This window comes from Homo sapiens, chromosome 6, assembly GCF_000001405.40.
Source record: "Homo sapiens chromosome 6, GRCh38.p14 Primary Assembly".
Classification (NCBI taxonomy): domain Eukaryota; kingdom Metazoa; phylum Chordata; class Mammalia; order Primates; family Hominidae; genus Homo; species Homo sapiens.
The window spans coordinates 54797570-54817792 of record NC_000006.12 but is presented as its reverse complement, the minus strand read 5'-3'; the positions used below and the strand labels follow the sequence as shown (position 1 = coordinate 54817792).

At 35.5% G+C, this 20223-nt stretch overlaps 1 long non-coding RNA gene across 1 annotated transcript in view; it reads left to right on the top strand.

Annotated features, from left to right (window-relative positions):
• The first annotated feature begins 15961 nt into the window (after nt 1-15961).
• The window catches only part of LOC107986606 (uncharacterized), a 179493-nt gene continuing 175231 nt past the window's right edge, over nt 15962-20223 (top strand). The window contains exon 1 of the long non-coding RNA XR_001744176.3: nt 15962-16056. This is a non-coding gene — a long non-coding RNA (uncharacterized LOC107986606). The remainder of the gene's footprint in view (nt 16057-20223) is intronic.

Below are 20223 nucleotides of genomic sequence, written 5' to 3'. Positions count from 1 at the left end.
CAAAAAATGGTTGATAATCACATGATCTAGGTGGTAGCAGCAAAGGTTTTGAGAAATAATTGGATTCAGGATATGTTTTGAAGTTAGAGTCAGTGAGATTTGCTGATAGATTGGCTATGAGGTGTTAGAGAACTCAAGGATGACTGCAAGGTTTGGGAATAGAAGATTTGTGTTTGGCAGAAGTGAAAGATAAATACAATGGAGCTAAATAAAAGTATATTCAGTATCAACTAGAGTAGTTTGGACTTGCTTCTGCAAGCATTACAAAGTCACTTTAGTTCTTGGGTAAGAAGATAACATGATGTAAGGGGTGCTATTGAACAAATTACCTGGCAGCTTTGTCTAGCTAGACTGGAAGAAGGATGACAAGGCAGGACTAGGGAAACAGGACTCTGCTAGTTTCTATCTGAAGGTGGTAGGACTTGTTCCTCCTCTTTCTTACTTTGGTAATAGAGGCCCTCACATTCGGTGGTTCCTTTTCTCTACCAAATACGTCCTTCATTTCCCTGTGGAATTTATCAGAGCAAGAATTTATTAGAATTAGTATAGTGGGTCACCCAAACCCCAGAAGACACAAACGTAGTTAATTTGGTTCTCATAAAACCGTTCAGGTAGCATAGGGAGCAGTTTGGTGTAAACTCTCCATCCTGGCTTCACTAGTTTTATTTGTCAGCCCTTGGGCAAATTATTTAACTTCTCCATTCTCATTTTCTCATCTGTGAAACTAGGTTAATAATACCTAACACAGAGTGTCAAGGTAAGAATTAATTAAATTTTACATTTTAAAGTGTTTGCAATGCTGCTTAGGACATAGTAAGTTGTTCAATAAATGTGAGTTGATATTTCTCCATTAACTTTTAAATAAACAAATCAATGTAGACTAATCCTTAAAATATATTCTCATAGTAATATTCATATGAATTAATCAGGATTTTTAGTAGGCAACAGTTAGAATATTCTTTCAAAAGAATAATAGAATTTGATATCTAGATGAATAAAAGTATATAAATTATAATGCTGAGTGACTAGAAGAATAGTGGTGTTCTTAATAATAAGGAAGTTGAAAAATAATCCATATATTTAAAAGAAACATTTGGCAAATTCTTTTGAAAATATACTTATTTCAGTGACTTTCATGCCGAGGTTTATTATTTTGAAAAAGAAAAAACTCTCAAGGGGCTGGGCACAGTGGCTCATGCCTATAATCTCAGCACTTTGGGAGGTCCAGGCAGGCGGATCACCTGAGGTCAGGAGTTCAAGACCGGCCTGGCCAACAGGGTGAAAACCCATCTCTACTAAAAATACAGAAATAATTAGTTGGGCATGGTGGTGGGCACCTGTAATCCCAGCTACTTGGGAGACTGAGGAAGGAGAATTGTTTGAGCCTGGGAGATAGAGGTTGCAGTGAGCCGAGATCATGCCACCACACTCCAGCCTGGGCAACAGAGAAAGACCCTGTCTAAAAAAAAAAAAAATTCCATGTGTTTGGGCTGATTGAATAATATTGTTACTGGTCATGTGTAATTACATAATTTAATGTATGTTTTCAAATAGTTATCAGCCAAGAATATTTTGATCTTCATTAATTATGAGAAAAAAATTTAAAGCTGGGCACAGTCGTTCACACTTGTAATCCCAGCACTTTGGGAGGCTGAGGAGAGTGGATTGCTTGACCTCAGGAGTTTGAGAACAGCCTGGGCAACAGAGTGAGACCCCATCTCTACAAAAAGATATTTTAAAAAATTAACCTGGCATGGTGGCATGTGCCTCTGGTCCCACCTACTCAGAAGGCTGAGGTAGGAGGATAGCTTGAGCCTGGGAGGCAGAGGCTGCTGTGAGCGAAGATCATTCCACTGTATTCCAGCCTCGGGGACAGAGCCAGACCCTGTTTCCAAAATAAATAAGTAAATAAATAAATAAAAATAATTTTTTTAAAAAAGAAAAATATTAAGATTTAAAAGCTTTGCGTTTTGAAAAAAATGTCTAATTAAAGAATTAAAATAGTATTTAAACCTAGTAAAGTAGGTTACAACTTTTGAGATTAACAACGTTATGTTGGCAACATATTTTCATGAGACTGCTTTTAATTTCAGAGGCTTTACTTCTTTGCATCTGTAGTCAGTGGAATAATGGCCGTCCTAGGGTGTCCACGTCTAAATCCCCAGAACCTGAGAATATGTTACCTTACATGGCAAAGAAGTAATAAAGCAGCAGATGGAATTAAGATTGCTAATCATCTGACTTCTTGATGGGGAGTTTACCCTGGATTATTGGGGGTGGGGTGCAATAAAATCAGAAGGACTAATCTAACAGAGAAGCCAAAGAAGGAGAAGCAGAGCTATGACAGTGTGAGAAAGACTAGATGGGCCATTGCTGGATTTGAAGACATAAGGGGACCATGAGCCAAAGGAATGTGGGCAGACTCTAGAAGCTGAAAAAAGCAAGGAAACTAATTCTTCCTTAGAGCTTTCAAAAGAAACACAGCTCTGCTGGCACCTTGATGTTAGTTTAGCCCATGGAACACGTTTTTGACTCCTGAGCTCCAGCACTGTAAGATAATAAGTTCGTGTTGTTTTAAGTCACTAAATTTGTGGTAATTCGTTATAGCAGCAATAGAAAATGGACATAATAGTTACAAGAGATATCACAAAATATGTACAGAGTAAAGTTTAAGAAGTAGTTTTGGATCCTCAGAAAGTTCAGGAGATTAAAATGATGGAGAACAAATGTTTTGACTAAGGATTTATCAGATTCATAATATTCCTCACCAAAGGAATTTACATTATACTAATTGCTCCAATTAGCTCTTGTAGCATTTTCATTTTAACTTCATTCTAAGATCATTAGCTCATGCTATCTCTAGAATTTTCACAGATTGGCATGACTATAATGTCCATGAGTATAAAATATAAAGAACTTCAGGAGAAAAAATGTTTTAAAAGATGATTCTTTATTACATTATAGTAGCTTTCTTATTGAAACTTACCAAGCCAGTCAGGAAAATCTTACCTAAAATAAATAGCCAGTGAGTTTCTTTGACATTATTCAGATCTATACCAATAAGTTTTATAAACATTAGGCTATATTTCTAGCACTGTCCCTAATTTACAATATTACTTTGAGCACATCACTTAATCTCATTATTTCTTAGATTCTATATTCACTTAAAAATAATTAGAGATAATTTAGTTCAAGAAGTGCAGTTATTTAGATGATGTCTGTAAGCCAGATTATGTCTGGTTAATTAGATTATATCTGTAAAATGTTCTATAAATCTAATAACATATTTCATCTGAGCATCCCAAACCACAGTCTATAAACATGAGTGAGCATTATTATCTCAATTTTACAAGGGGGCAAGAAAGACAGAAGGAATTTACTAGATTAGAAAAAGCCAAAAACCAACCATGGTCATAGCAGGCTCTCAGGGCTCTGTTTGTTGTACTTTTGTCTATCTGCTTAGCAGCATTTTAACTCCATTTTTATACCACGAGGTATTACTAACAGAATCAATAATATTCCTAAGCCTTAAAACTCATAGGAAATGTTCAAGAGGGTCTAGCCTGTGTTCAGCATGATGTAGAGAGCCTTACTTATCTCTGGAACATTTCCAGGCTTCTTGTTCTCAGACCTAAGCATATTACAAAGAAAGAAGAGCTTTTAATATTTATGTCATTAGTCACGTTAGCTTCACTAAATCATGGAAAGCTCTCACAATAGACAATGCATGGATTATGTACAGCAATTAAACCTCCATCTAAATACTTCTCGTAATTAATGTAAGAGACTTTTAGCTATTGCATAAAGCTGCTCCTAGGCCAAATTGCCGATTAAGTCAATAGGGTCTTATCTCAGACAGACATGTGGTACAAATACTTAACAGCACAGAGAGACCAATGTTTAATTTCTCTCTTTCTCTCTCTCTCTCTGTCTCTCTCTCTCTATGTATATATGTATATATACATATATATATTCAATTAAGAAGCATCTCAGTATCTCTGATGGGAGTGTAGGGGGAAATATAACTGTTATAACTATTATACAATATCAGGAATAATAAATGGAATAATATAATAAAAATTTCAGACTAATAAAACATGAAAAATCATAATCTAAAAACTTATGCAGTCAGGCACATACATTTTCTACCTGTACACCTGTCCTATTGCCAATCACTTGAGAATATTTTCATATAAGAGAATTAGAAGTTAATTTATTATTATAAGAATATCTTTCATACAACCTGACCTTGATTAATATACTTCTAACCTGTAAAACTAAAATATCAGGGATGTTATTCCAATGCGTTTAAGAAAACCAATAGTGTAATATTTATTTTCAAACTGAATAGCTAAAAATTCTGTACCACAATTTAATTATCTGTTTTATATATCAAACTCACTGGGCACTATATTTTAAATAAAGCTTCATCCATTATTGGGCAAGAAAATTAAATAGAAATATTCTAAATTATTAATGATATGGCAATATTGTTAGTGTAGTAGTTGTCATTTGCTCCACCATAGCATACTCAGAATACAAAAGCAATTTCAATTTTATTTCTTTTTCTTGTCTAGTTGTTCTGGCTAAGACCTCCAGTATTAATGTTAAATAGAAGTGGCAAGAGTGGGCACCCTTGCCTTGTTCTTCATCATAGAGGATAAAGCTCTGTTTTTCATATTGACAATGATGAAATTTATTATATATGGCCTTTTATGTGGACTTTTAATATATGGCCTTTTTATTTGGACATTTTTATATGGCCTTTATTATGTTAAGTTTATTTTCTTCTATTTTTCTAATTTGTTGAGTCTTGTCATGAAATGGTGTTGAGTTTTGTCAAATGCCTTCTCTTCATGTGTTGAGATGATCATGTCATTTATATCCTTCATTCTGTTAATGTGTTATGTCACACTAATTGATTTGTAGATGTTGAACCATCTTTGCATTCCAGGAACAAATGCCACTAGGACTTAGTGTATGCTCCCTTTAATGTGCTATTGAATTCAGTTTGGTAAATTAGGCAAAAAAAAAAAAAAAAGTTAAGAGGCATCCAAATCAGAAAAGAATAAGTAAAATTATCTCTGTTTGCAAGTGACAGGATCTTATATGTAGAAAATCACAAAGACTCCACACACACACACAAACACAAAATATTCAAACTAATAAACAAATTCAATAAAATTGAAGGATACAAATCAACATACAAAAAAATCAGTTGTAATTCCATACACTAAGAACAAATTATCTGAGAATAAATTTTTTTTAAAAAATTATTTACAATAGCATCAAGAAGAAAAATAGAAATAAACTAAGAAGGTGAGAAACTTCTACACTGAAAACTAGAAAATATTGATGGATAAAATTATAGTACAAAGAAATAAATGGAAAGTCATCCCATGTTCATGGATTAGAAGACTTAATATATTGTTAGAATATCTGTACTACCCAAAGTGGTTTACAGATTCAGTGTAATCCTATTAAAATTCCAATGGAATTTGTTTTACAGAGATAGGAAAAAAAAGGAATCCTAAGATTCATAGGGAACCAGAAAGACTACAAATAGCCAAATCAATATTGAGAAAAAAGAACAAAGTTGCAGGTATTATTATTTATAACTTCAAAATATTTTAAAGTTACAGTAATTAAAATAATATAGTACAGGCATAAAGATAGACATATAGACCAATTGAACAGAATAGACAGCCTAGAAATACACTTATACATGAAGATCAATTGATCTTCAACAAAGGTGCCAAGAATACACATGGGGAAAGGCTGGTATCTTCAACAAATGGTATTAAGAAAACTGGCCACCCAATTGCAAAATAATAAAATTGAACCCCTATCTTTTAAAAATCAACTGGAAATGGATTAAAGGCTTAGTCAGAAAATGTGAAGCTGTAAAACTACTAGAAATAAACATAGGGGAAACACTTCATGAGATTGGTTTTGGAAATACTTTTTTGGATATGACATCAAAAGCACAAGCAACAGAAAAAAAGGAACAAGTACGACTACATCAAACTAAAAAGCTTCTGCACAACAAAGGAACGAATCAACCACATGAAGAGGCAGTCTATGGAATGGGAGAAAATACTTGCAAACTGCATATCTGATAAGGGGTTAATATTCAAAATAAATAAGAAATTCCTTCAACTTAATAGCAGAACAAAAATAAAAACAAAAAACAAAAACAAAACACACAGACTCTCTCACACACACCCACAAATGCAAATAACCTGATTAAGACAATGGGCAAAGGACTTGAATAGACATTTCTCCAGAGAAGACATACAAATGGCCAATAGGTGTATGAAAAGATGCTAAAAATTACTAATTATTATAAAAATGGAAATCTTAATCACAACAAAATATCACTTCATACCTGTAGGATAGCTATGGTAAAAAAAAAATGGTAATGACTGTTGGAGAGGCATGCAGAAATTGGAACCTGTTTCCACTATCTGTGGGAATGAAAAATAGTACAGTTGCTACAGAGGTTCCTCAAAAAATTAAAAGTAAAAATATCATATAATCCAGTAATCCCATTCTAGCTATTTATCAAAAAGAAGTGAAATCAAGATCTCAAAGAGATATTTGCACTCCCATGTTTATTGTAGCATTATTCACAATAGATAAGATGTGGAAACAATTTAAATGTTCATTGATGGATAAATAAATAAAGTATGACACAGACATACAATAGAATGTTACTCAGCCTTAAAAAAGGAAATCCTGCTGGGCACGGTGGCTCATGCCTGTAATCCCAACACTTCAGGAGGCTGAGGTGGGTGGATCATCTGAGATCGAGACCAGCCTGGCCAAAATGGTGAAACCCCATCTCTACTAAAAATACAAAAATTAGCCAGCTGTGGTGGTGCCCACGTGTAATCCCAGCTACTGGGGAGGCTGAGGCATGAGAATCGTTTGAACCCGAGGGGAGGAGGCTGCAGTGAGCTGAGATTGCACTATGCACTCCAGCCTGGGTAACAGAGTGAGACCCCAACTCAAAAAAAAAAAAGAAAAAAAAAAAAAAAGGAAATCCTGCCATATGCGACCACATGAATGACCAGGAGGACATCAAGCTAAGTGATATAAGTCAGTCACAAAAGAACAAATATGGCATGATACCACTTATATGAGGTATATAAAATATTCAAATACATAGAAGCAGGGAGAATGGTGGTTCCCAGGAAGTGAGGGAAGAAGAAAATGGGCTATTATCCAACAAGTCTAATGTTTCAGTTATGTAAGATGGGAAAGTTCTAGAGATCTGCTCTACAACATTGTGCCTATAGTTTAAAATATTGTATATTTAAAATTTTGTTAAGAAGGTAGATCTCATGATAAGGGTTCTGACCACAGTTTAAAAAAAAATGATGTCATGGGGTTTTAGATTGCCCAATTCAAGTTTATGCAGACAGAGCTATCTCTATAAATGCTTTTCTGGAAACTCCTTTTCTATCCTTGCATTTGGACAGTCATGTAGACTTATGTATTTATTTGGTTTAGAAAAAAAATGTTCATGGTTTCCATAGCAACCTTAGTTTTTAGTGGATACAGAATATCTTGAGAGGCTCTAAGCTCTTGTCTCTTTTCAACACTAAAGTTGCATCTAATGGGGAGTTTTTCCCAGTTTCCTACCAAAACCAGTGGAACTTATTCAATTGGGCAACTCTGCTTGTGCTTCTTATCCCTTAGGCCCAGGTTCTATCTTGAGGGCCCATTGCTTGGGCTCCCAGGCTGTACTGTTTTCTTAGGGCCCCTAGTGCTCACAGGCACCTAGGAAGTTGTGCTCTTTCTTTTCTTTCTTTCTTTCTTTCTTTCTTTCTTTCTTTCTTTCTTTCTTTCTTTCTTTCTTGCTTGCTTGCTTTCTTTTCTTTGAGATCTTGACTCCTAAGAAAGATGTTGAAAGTTAGCTCTCTCGGGCCCCTTTACCCCTCACAGAACTCCCATGTCCCTGGGAGTCTCCTCTTCCTATGCCCTTCCCCACATACACAACTCAACTCCAAATTTAAAGCTGCCATCACTTTTTCTTTCCAGATACATTGCTTGCCCCAAAGATTAAAGAGCTCCCATCAGGGTTTGCATTTATGCTTGCAACTTCTTTTCAGGGCTAAAACATATAAAGACTATTTTCTTTTTCCCAGGACATTCTTATCCAAAGAAGGAAAATTTATGCTTTACAAATACAAACCAGCTGCCCCTTTGAGAAGCTGGAGGAGAATAACTCTTACTTCTTAAAGGGCCCATAGCAACGAGAAGTAAAACCAATCTCGATGGTTTGACCCATCTTGGTCAACCAAGATGAGCTTGCTGTGTTTAATTCACAATAAATCATTGTGTTTTAATAGTCTGATATAGTGTCTGTGGCCTCTTGGTTTTGTATAGTTGCACATTTGTTTTCAAATTCTCAGGTATCACTTCCACCAGGACGGGAATCAGCCAGCCAAAAAGAGATTATTAAACTTTCTTTCACACTGCGTCTTCCTTATCTCACATCGTAGAACACAAGTCAAGAGTCCTCCTCTCAGAGATATAGAGAGCTATGGCACTCATGGTCATGCCCAGCATCTATCAGACCACTTTGGAGAGATAAGACTTCTGAGGAAACCTGTTAATGAGTAGTAGTACTTTTCAAAAGTCCATTAAAATGTAAACAGCAGAGTGTGAAAGAAAGATCTGATATACCTTGCATAGACCAAGCGGCATAAAGGAAGAATTACAGGAGACATCTGGAAGAGAGAATTGGACCTGATATAGCTATTCCCTTAAATGAGGCTTTTCCCAAAGTCAAAAATAAGAAAGCCCTAGAGATTGATAACAACCCACTCTATATCCAGTAGATTTGACTGTATGTATGTAAGCCTTTCCTTACCTGCCAATGGAAATGAATAAGGGCATATTAATATTGCATGCAAAATATATTCCCCACCTTTATAAGAGCAGAATCTCAATCCCACCATTTAAGTTTCTTCAAGTTATTCATGAGAGTTCCCAGAGGATGGCTCATATTCCACACAGTCATTTGCATTTAACTTTTTTGTGGTATTCATAATGCCCTAAGGTAAAAAAATTGGCTATTCAAAAATGGATGTATCCCTGTCTGTTTGCAAGAGTCAAGATTCAGGTGATCAGAGTGGGCAAATCAGGTAAACAGCATTTCTCATGAGAATCTTTCCTAATGAATACTATTTTTGCATGGGCTCCATATTTTTGTGTATGACCTGTCAATATCTGTTTTGTGAATAATTTGTAAATATTTTTCCTATACAAAGTGTCGTATTTAAAAAATTTGATTATACTTTACCAATTCATTCATTTTCAAAAATATTTTTTCAGTAACTTCTATGTGAAAAATTTGGTCTAAGTAGATCTATTTCTTTTTTTTATTATTTTCTTCTTCTTCTTTTTTTTTGAGGGGGGGGATGGAGTCTCACTCTGTCACCCAGGCCAGAGTGCAGTGGCATGATCTCTGCTCACTGCAACCTCCGCCTCCCTGGTTCAAGTGATTCTCCTGCCTCAGCCTCCCGAGCAGCTGGGATTACAGGCGTGCACCACCACGCCTGGCTAGTTTTTGTATTTGTAGTAGAGATGGTGTTTTGCTATTTTGGCCAGGCTTGTCTCAAACTCCTGACCTCAGGTGATCTGCTCGCCTCAGCCTCCCAAAGTACTACAATTACAGGCATGAACCACCACGCCCAGGCTAGATCTATTTCTAAACAAGGCATAATCTCTTCCCTACAGTCCAATGGGAAGTAAATACCAATAATATTTCAAAAAATATCTGACAAGTTCTATATATAGGATATAAGTAGAAATAAATCGTAGTTCAGAGGAGAAAAATGTTAGTTAGCACTTGTTGGAGTCTCTAAAAAGGCTATAAAAAGAAAGTAGCATTGAGATGAGCCTTGAAGCATGGGTATTATGTTTTAAAACTTAATTTTATGAACTTATTCTATAAATAAACCTATTTATTTCTCATAAATTAGACAAAATAAGCTTCAAATAGAAGGAAATAAAATCATCTATAAGCCTGAGGTCAATATCAATGTTTTGTTTGTGGAGGATTGAATTACTGATTCCAATTTTTTATCCCTCCCATATATCTATGGTATTTGTTAGGTGACATGCATTCCCTCCAACTAAAGGTTGTGTATTCTTTCCTGTGTCTTGATTTCTGAATTATCCATGTGACTTGCTTTGGTCAGTGTGATATTAGCAGACGTGACACAAGCAGTGGCTTGAAATGTGACTGCTTTCTTACATTTCTGCCATGAAAAAAATAAGCTACTTCCTAATCCAAAAAGGATACAGACTTACAAAGAAGGCCTGAATCCTGTCAACACCTTGAAGCCAATTTCAAAAAAGTCTAGCCTAGATTAGCCAATAATCATCAAACAACCAACAGCATGTGATCAAGAATAAATCACTGTTTTAATCCACTGAGTTTTGGGGTGGTTTGTTATGAAGGACAATTTTGTCAATAGCTAATACAGTGTTTTCTATGCTTTCAGATGTTTTTATAATAATGAGATTATACTGTAAATGTTATTTTGTAATCTGGTATTTACACTCAATAGATTGTGATTATATTTCTATTTGGATACTTCTTTTTAATGTCTGAATAATTTTTTTAACCTGTTCCCTCAAGTAGAAAGCTGTATGTTTTTAGTTTCAACTTGGGCTGCAAGTGGGAGAAAAACAAAACTGAGTGGATTAAACAAGGCAAAAGTTTATTTCTTACATGAATAAAAGAAGCTCTGGGCTGGTATGATACCACATAATGTAGAATCCCAGGCCCAGGCTATCTCTTTCTCATGGTTCAGGAGGTTGGAGTCAAGTAAATATGGGGAAGGGCATTTTCACGAGTTGCACACACCATTTTATTTATATCCAAAGAGTAGAACTTAGTCACATAGCCATGACTAGCTATAAGAGAATTGATAAAAGTGGACTTTATATCAAGTAATCAAGACACAGGTAAAAATGATGAGTTCTAGTCTCAGGTACAAAGTGGAGAACAAAGAGTGGACTATAATAGTCTCTGTGATTGACTTCTATGTTGTTTTTAATGTTTTAATATAATAAATAATGCTATGACTAAATTTATAGTTTTTGGCATGCAGAAATGGAGCAGATATTTGATAGGGAATGGAGTGAATATACAAAAACCTAGGGAGCTGTTTAAGAATAATGAGTGATATAATGTTGTAATAGTATAAATGTTGTGTAGGAGAATAGATGGAAATAAAGTTTGTTTTTCCAAAAATATATTTAATCTTGTATGCCCAGAAAGAGAAACAAATCCTGAGTTACCAGATCAACAATGCCAGGTCTTCATTTTCAGATTGTTATCTAATTAGTATATGAAGCACTTATGTTTACTAAGTGAACTGGTTGACCCAATACATAAAGCCATCCTTGAGAGTTTAACTCTCTCTAGAGTAAACCTCCTAAGAGTAACTTTGCTTACTCTTAGTAACCTCCCAAGTAACAACTTAGGAGATTGATTTCAATAACTGAAATTAGAGGAGCGTGAAACTATTTAAAATATTTGCAGAATCTTGAGAAACCGATTGTGGCCAGAATATAAGTGCATGTGATAGGAATAAGGGTAGAGGTGGGAGCAAAGGTGGGACTGAAGATAAGTCTGGAATAGTCTCAAATTTTCATTTATTTTTCTTATCATTTACTGCTAATTTAAAATAACTTATTTTTTGTATTATAAAAGCAATGCATATTCTTTGTAGCAGTCTCCAGCATCTGGCAGCTGGATTCACAGCATACCTTGTTTTTGTTGCCTATGAACATGATTACCCCCAATCCATTCTGCATAGCATTTTATGATTGACTTTTCTAATAGTGATTCTGTGTGATACTCTCTTTCTTCATGGCACAGACAGGGTGGATGCTGTAGGACCATATAGACTTACCTTAGCTAATGTCTCGATTCACACCCCTGCTGCTTAATAAAGCCATCAATATCAATAGACTTTACACCAGGGGTTCTGCTGAATTGATCTGAGGTGGGACCCTGGTGTCAGTGTAGCTTTACAAAAACCTTTCTGGTAATGCTAATATGCAAGCAGAATGAAAATTACTGAATTAGTTAATTGATAGCTCCTTCCTGCTTCACAAATTACTGATCACCCACATTTGGCATTAATATTCCCATCTTCACGAAGCAAGCTAAGCTATTTTCAGCCAATTTTATACAATTTTTTTATGCAAAGCTAAAATTGGTCTTTTTGTGTCTTTTACCCACAGAACTAGTTCTACTCTGTGACACTACAAAGGATAAGTCTATCCTTTTCCACATGACAGCCTGTTAATTACTTGAACATTTGCTAAACATGGCCTTCCTAAATATTCACTTCCCAAGCTAAACATATAGAATTTGAAAAAAAAGAAAACATCGATGTTTTGCTATTAGCTTAGCCCATCCCTGGTTGGACATTGAGCCTGTCACATTCCATAGCTCAGAAGGATTTGTATTTCTAAATGTCTTACATTCCTTAAAGACACAGTTTACAAACAGACTCAGATAGCTTTGAATCATGCTACATACCAGAAAATTCCTTTCTCTTATTATCAAGCACAGAAATGCCTGGTCTATATCAAAATGACTGAAATGTTATCCAATTAACATTTTTTACTTTAAATAATTATTTGAAATATAAATACAGAGTAGAATTACTAGAATATAATATACTATTAGCTACAGAAAACACAAGATACAATATTTATGCTATGTAATAGAGTATAAATAACTCCTCTTTTTATTTTGGAACACCAGTTATTCTGAAAAGTGAATTCTTTTGCAATTTGTCCTATGCTCATAGGCAGAAATAAAACCTTTCTGTCAGATATCAAAAAGTGCCTATAAGCTTTTTGTTTGACAACACCCAGCCCTTTCCACAGACCTTTTGATGACAAAGTTTCTAGTTTTCTAATTATCATGTTTAATCGTTTGTGAACATGTCCCCTGCTTCCAGTGTGATCTGCGCAGTGAAGAATAGAATGGAACTCTCAATTCTCTGGCTCTGGAGTAACTCTTTGGCTACTTATGTAGGCTAGGTCTTTGATAACCCATTTAAAATGTCAGCATTGAGAATAGCCCAACAGACTATGACCAAGCATCTCACTCTGGCCTATTAATCATAACCCAAGCCATTATCAATTGTCCATAGAAAAAAGCCTAAGGGCTGGCAGATATTCAGGATCATTTATAGATAATCAGAATCATTTAAAATCAGGCCCCAACTTACCCTTTCTCCCATATTACCCATGCCTACTTAAAATTGTTTTCTTATTAAATCAGTCTACTCACTATCTCTTTAAATCATGTCAGAGAGGCCAGGCACGGTGGCTCGTGCCTGTAATCCCAGCACTTTGGGAGGCCAAGGCAGACGGATCACTTGAGATCAGGAGTTCAAGACCAGCCTGGCCAACATGGTGAAACCCCACCTCTACTAAAAATACAAAAGTTAGCCAGAAATTGCTTGAACCCGGGAGGCGGAGTTTGCAGTGAGCTGAGATCATGCCACTGCACTCCAGCCTGGGTAACAGAGAGAGACTCTGTTTCAAAAAAAAAAAAAAAAAAAAAAAGTCAGAGCTATTTCTGCCTGCTCAACTACTATACCATTTCCTCTTTCATGAAATGAAACCTCCTCCCACTAACAGAATCCTCTCTTCGCATATAATCTACTCAAAATTCAAACAACAGCACAACCCCAGTCTCTTCCTCAAAACTGTGTCGGAGTGCCAAAGTTCACAGAATTGTATACTTTCTTTGAAAACGTCTTGCCCTTATTGTATATACTGGTTACAGTAGTAGCAACAACAATAATAATAATTGTCTAATGATGGTTACTATTTCACTGAGCACTTTGCTAGTCAATTCATGTATAACCCTAATGGGTAGATCTTATTTTACCTATTTTACAGGTTAGTAAACTAAGACTTCAAGTAGGATGAGTTACTAGGATTCAATTCCTGGTCTGCTTGACTCTGTAGTACTAGGTCACCTTATCTCTTTTGACCTGCTTTGTCCTGAATTCATCCACTTCTATTATTATTTTGCTGTGTTTGATGTAGTTTACTTTTAACTTATAAAATAATAATTTAGAGCAAATTAGTTTCATCTTCATATTTATATATTAAGTTTAACTATGTAAAACTCAAGAGTATTATAAATGCCTGAAAGAATCCTAAAAATGCTGTGACATTTGCTACCTAAGTCAGTTTACACTGATTCCTATTCAAATGGCAACACCCTTTCTTTGTTGGAATTCAATTACATGCATTCTAATTAAGAGATTCCTGGGTGAGCTTTACACCCTTTAGAAGTGAGAACTTGATTTAGACGTGTGGTATACGAGTTGGCCACAATTCTCCAGTCAACTTCCTAGGCAGTTCTCTTTCCAGGGCCTTATCTGAATGGTTTAGTTCCTCCCTATCATGCCAATAGCCAACCTCATTTTTGCCTTATCTGTCTTGCCTTCCCTAAGTGGCACTCCAAGCACAGGTCATCCAATTGTAGTTCTTCTGTATTATGTGCACTCAAGCTTCTGCTCTTTTTTCAAAGGTGTGGTCGAGGTGTGTGCTAATGAGTACTTTTTCTCCAGGCGCCTCATCTTCACCATATCAACTTGCATGCATTTTACTAGAAGCCAATTAGAGAGAGGGTTTGATTCACAGAGGTGACCTGGATGCTAGCATTTATGGCACTGTAAAGGTACAGAATTCTGACAGCAGGACTTTTCAACCCCCTAAAATCACAATACATATTCAGCCCTTACCACGAGTCCTGCTGCAATGACTCAGACTCTTGGCTTTTGAAAGTAAGTGGAGAAAGGAAAAAGCATATCTCAGCAGTGCTGAAGATTGAGGAAGGAGGCACTAGTGAAGCACCAAGGACAGAGTTGTCTTGAGTGTTAGAATTTTGCCAATCTAATATCACAAAAATTGCATAGTGGAATTGAATTTTCCTTCTTCAATCCCTTGTCAAGTAAGACAGAATAGAAGATAATGATCTTAATAATTATGTATAAATATATGTAGCTAGTACTTTTCCTGTGGTTTCTAAACTACATTAAGGTCATAGTCTTTTTATTTAAAATATTATGTGTACTTTAAGGCAAGTAGTTAGCTAATTCTCAAGCATTTCTATTAGGCAGTGCCATATTATTAACCTTGTTTTACCACAGACAAATTTTATTGACTTATTGTTTAGTCTTACAGAAAGATCACAGAGAACAGTAGAATTAAAATAATTTCATGTAATCTTTGTGGTCGTTGTGTTTTCTTTGAATAAATAATAGATCTAAATCTGTTGGTAAATCTAGGTGAGCAGTCTGTACTTAAAGAAAAATCATGTATTGTGTATGAGGTCAATGGAATGTTTGAATGAAGTAACATTGCCAAGTATTAAGTTGGCTATTACACATTCCTGTAGTGATCCATTTATCTCATCTTCCAGAATAATATGTTTCTAGAACATGATTGATACATTCTAATTCAGATTAAAATTTATGTCTTCTTATAATTCAGGTTTACTTCTGTTGTTATTCACAAATTTTAAGGAAAGACTACAAATTTTTCTGGGACTAATATTATTGCTTTCCTTTATTGCATATATTTAAAAGGAAAAAAGGAACTCAGTCCTCAAGTTCAATCAACCACTGATTGATATAAGGTTTTGCTTAGCAACATAGATTTTTAAATCAATGAATTTATTAATGTGAACCATGTACAACATATATGAGATGCAAATTCTTCAGGAACATTCAGCAAGCAAGAAGGAAATCTTATAGCTAAATGACTCACAAATAGCCCTGCCTGCCTGATTTATTATGGATTACTTGTATGAGTCATAAACACCAAAGCTCAGTTACTGGTATGTGACATCATGATATCACATGACTCTACTGGCAGGCATAGCTTTGTAAGCTCTAATTTCATAATTAACATTTTCAGGGTAAGATGGATAGGACATCGCAGTTGCAAGGCTTTCAACAAAAGCCTGGAGATACATGAAATATTATATTGGTGAGTAGAGTTTACTGACTGTAAGCCATATAAGGTAATGATTCAATGCTGAAGGAACTATCATTTTGCTTTTAATGGAGATTATGATAACAGTGTGGTCTTTCTAGCTCTTGTGCTGTATTTGTTTCATGATGGCTGACAGCTAACATTCCAAAAAGGGTTACATACTGGTAACTTTCCATTTAAAAATTCAAATACCTCCAATAATGCCAATAAAAAAAGAGAGTTTTGGCATTTTGCCTACATTGTATGCACTGTACAGTTACTTTTTAGTTGATTGATTGATTGTTATGCATGGGGATATGATTGGCATATGTTCTCAATGAGTTGAGTGTAATTGACTGACAGATGAGGCAATTCCTTTGTTACAGTGCAAGACTTTGGATTTCCTGGAAAGAGATATTTTTAATGATGAGTAAATCAATATTTTAATAATTTTTAAGTTGTATCTAATAAAATCTGGCTTTAAATCTGTTTCTCTCTTCCTCAATCTCTTTGATTAATTTTCTGCACCAATGGAGGGAAATGATGTGATGAATAATTTAAATGAGATAATTTTTAAAATGTATATGTATATATTAGTGCATAAGACTGAAACTGAAGAATAGCCTGTCTCATATTCTGCACCACTGTAAATCTTCAAGGGCAGATTCTGCCTTATTGAGTATATCTCTAGGATATAGCTCAGTGTCTGGCATATGTGCATATTTAAAAATATAAATTGAAAAGAAAAATATATTCCCCATCTTTGTGAATAGCCACACTAACAAGGCCCTTGTTGGTAGAGCAGGAAAGTAGTCCATTCCAAGTTATTCAGCTAGTAGGGTCTCTATGGTTTACTACATGCTAGAAACTGACTAGTAAATATTGGAACTTACTTATTGTTGTTATTTGAATGTTTGAATATTTTACTTTTAAATCTGCAGTAAAAGATGAGAAAAATATCAACAGGCTCCTATGTTCTTAGTGCCTGCACAGTTAGCACTAATGCTCTAAGTTGAGTGACAATTTTTATAACACAGTTTTTGTTTAAATCTTTTGCTACTTTTGCTCATAAAATTTCCCACTTTGAATAACATAGTAAATGTTGCATCTATCTATGAACCTGAATATTGTCCAAGTTCAGGTCCTAAAGATAAAGAGAATTGACTTATTGACTCTGATAATAAATTCCCATATCATTGGCATCATGCCGGTGTTATTTCTTCATTTTCTTCCTTGTACTTTTGTCTTTGTCATATGTATATTGAGTGTTCATATGTCAAATTCCGTGTTCCAGATACCATCAGTAAATGATAATCAAAAGAGTAATAAAACAATGTTATATTTATTAAATTATAATTGTATTAATAAAGACTTTGTCCCATTGAGCAAACTGTATATGTGGCTTTATAGGCTCACTGTGATGTCATGCTTCAGTCACCTCTAGATTATTTGCTTTGCATCATGTTCATACGTGCAGTCCTTTCTTCCACCCAGGAGAAAAGGAACCCATCACCTCATTGCCATACCATCTGGCTAGCGTAGGAGTGGAGTTTGCTCCTCTGAGAGTCATTTTCTTCTAACTAGCAGCCACACTGTCCAATTGAGAAAAAGTTTTATAGTATTTTGATGCCAATTAATGGATTAATGAGCATTTATACATCACTTCTTATGAACAAGGGAGATTAGGAAGAAGAACAAAGATTAAGAAGAGGAGAAGGAAGAAGAAAATGTTTATATGTGTATAAATGTGCATGTGTTTACACTTGTATATGTTTACACATATACATGTATGAAGATATGTGTATAAATGTGTATGTGTTTATATTTACACATATAAACATTTTCTTCTTCCTTCTCAAAAACTATTTGCAAACATAATTACATTAATGATATAAATTCTTAAACTTAGGCTTTTCAGATTTTAGATCTATGGTCCAGGCCCAATAAGCTCTACCATGTAGCTATTTCAGGCATTTTATAATAAAATAAGATAGTTAAATAGAAAAGACAAGTAAATTAAGTGAGGGGTTTCATTGTTGTTATTAAGTTAGGAGAGACCTCTGCATGCCAAAGAGAAAGGAACTTTACTAATTAAAACGGAAGGAGTGATGAGAAAACAAGTTATCTAAGAAGGGAGAGAGGAATAAATCAGTGTTTATTACAAGTGAGGTAGCTTTAAACAACATGAGGAATCTTTCTCAGTCCAAAGGGAAAGGTAAATATAGAAACAAAATTATGATGGATAGAAGTGAGAGAAACTTGGAAGTTTTCTCCAGATGGATTTTAAAGGCATTAGCTCAGACAGAGGACTAAAATGAGAGTAAGACCAGAGACTCAAGGAAGCAGTTGTTCTGGGAAATCACTACGGTGTGAAATTAGCAGATGATATATGAAATAATTGCACAGGAGTATAAAAGAATCCAGTGGAAGTTTGACCAGTCATTTCTGCATTTGGTCTAATACCATTTAGGGGCCAGAGCAGAAGTGGAAGGAAACAAGATTGGGATAATCCAGGACTGGGATTGACAGAACAGGCACACCAACCACGAAGGATGTGAGCCTGGGTTAGTGGAAGGGCAACATTGAGGGCTGCCCATGGACTGCTGCTGCTTGGATGCCACTGCTCCTTATTTGTTAGCAAGGCCAATCAAAAGCTGTCTCTAGTGCTTTCTCTCTGTTCTATCAGAAGATAAAAAGGGACTAATCTCTTCTCTCCTGATCATTATCAGCTCAGGTTTATTGGGGGTTCATCCTGCTTTCATTCAAATGCTCAGCCGTATGATGTTAATATCCTTTATATATGAGTGGCAAAAAGGTACAATGATCTAGCAGAACCCTAATGAACTATGGCATACAGAAGAAATTTATTATACACCTGATTGGATAAGAATTGACAGGTTAGGTACTAGCACTGATAGAACACTATGTAGCATCTTAAAAAAAATAGATTTCAGGTATTAATTCCAGAGGAAAGCTGATTTAGGGATTCAACACATTATTCTAAATTAGGCACATGATAAAATGCTATCTTTGATATGAAAGAGATAAGTAAGAATTCAACAATTTGGCTTTTCAGAAGCTTTTATGTATATATAGTGCCATCTCCCTAATAATGTGAGAATATTTTACTAAAGGTGTTGACTCAACATGATTACAGGATCCCTATGACATTGCAGCATATTTCTCTGATATGGTTTGTCTGTGTCCCCACCCAAACCTCATCTTGAATTGTAGCTCCCATAATTCCTATGTGTTGTGGGAGGGACCCGATTGGAAGTTAATTGAATCATGAGCGTGGTTTCCTCCATACTGTTCTCCCAGTAGTCAATAAGTCTCATGAGATTTGATGGTTTTATAAGCGGTGTATTAGTCCGTTTTTATGCTGCTGATAAAGACATACCTGAGACTGGGAAGAAAAGGAGGTTTAATTTGACTTACAGTTCTACATGGCTGGGGAGGTCTCATAATCATAGCAGAGGGTGAAAGGCACATCTTACATGGTGGCAGCAAGAGAAAATGAGGAAGAAGCAAAAGTGGAAACCCCTGACAAACCCATCAGATCTTGTAAGACTTATTCACTATTGCAAGATTGGCACGGGAAAGACTAGCCCCCATGATTCAATTACCTTCCCCTGGATCCCTCCCACAACATGTAGGAATTCTGGGAGATATAATTTAAGTTGAGGTTTTAGTAGGGACACAGCCAAACCATATAATTCCACCTCTAACCCCTCCAAATCTCATCTCCTCACTTTTCAAAACCAATCATGCCTTTGCAACAGTCCCCCAAAGTCTTTAACTCATTTCAGCATGAACTCAAAGTCCACAGTCCAAAGTCTCATCCGAGACAAGGCAAGTCTCTTCCACCTATGAGCCTGTAAAATCAAAAGCAAGCTGGTTACTCTCTAGATACGATGGGGGTACAGGTATTGGGTAAATTCAGCCATTCCAAATGGGAGAAATTGGCCAAAACAAAGTGGTTACAGGGCCCATGCAAATCTGAAATCCAGTACAGCAGTCAAATTTTAAAGCTCCAAAATGAACTCCTTTGACTGTAGGTCTCACATCCAGGTCACACTGATGCAAGAGGTGGATTCTCATGGTCTTGGGCAGCTCCGTCCCTTTGGTTTTGCATGGTACAGCCTCCCTCCTGGCTGCCTTAATAGGCTGGCATTAAGTGTC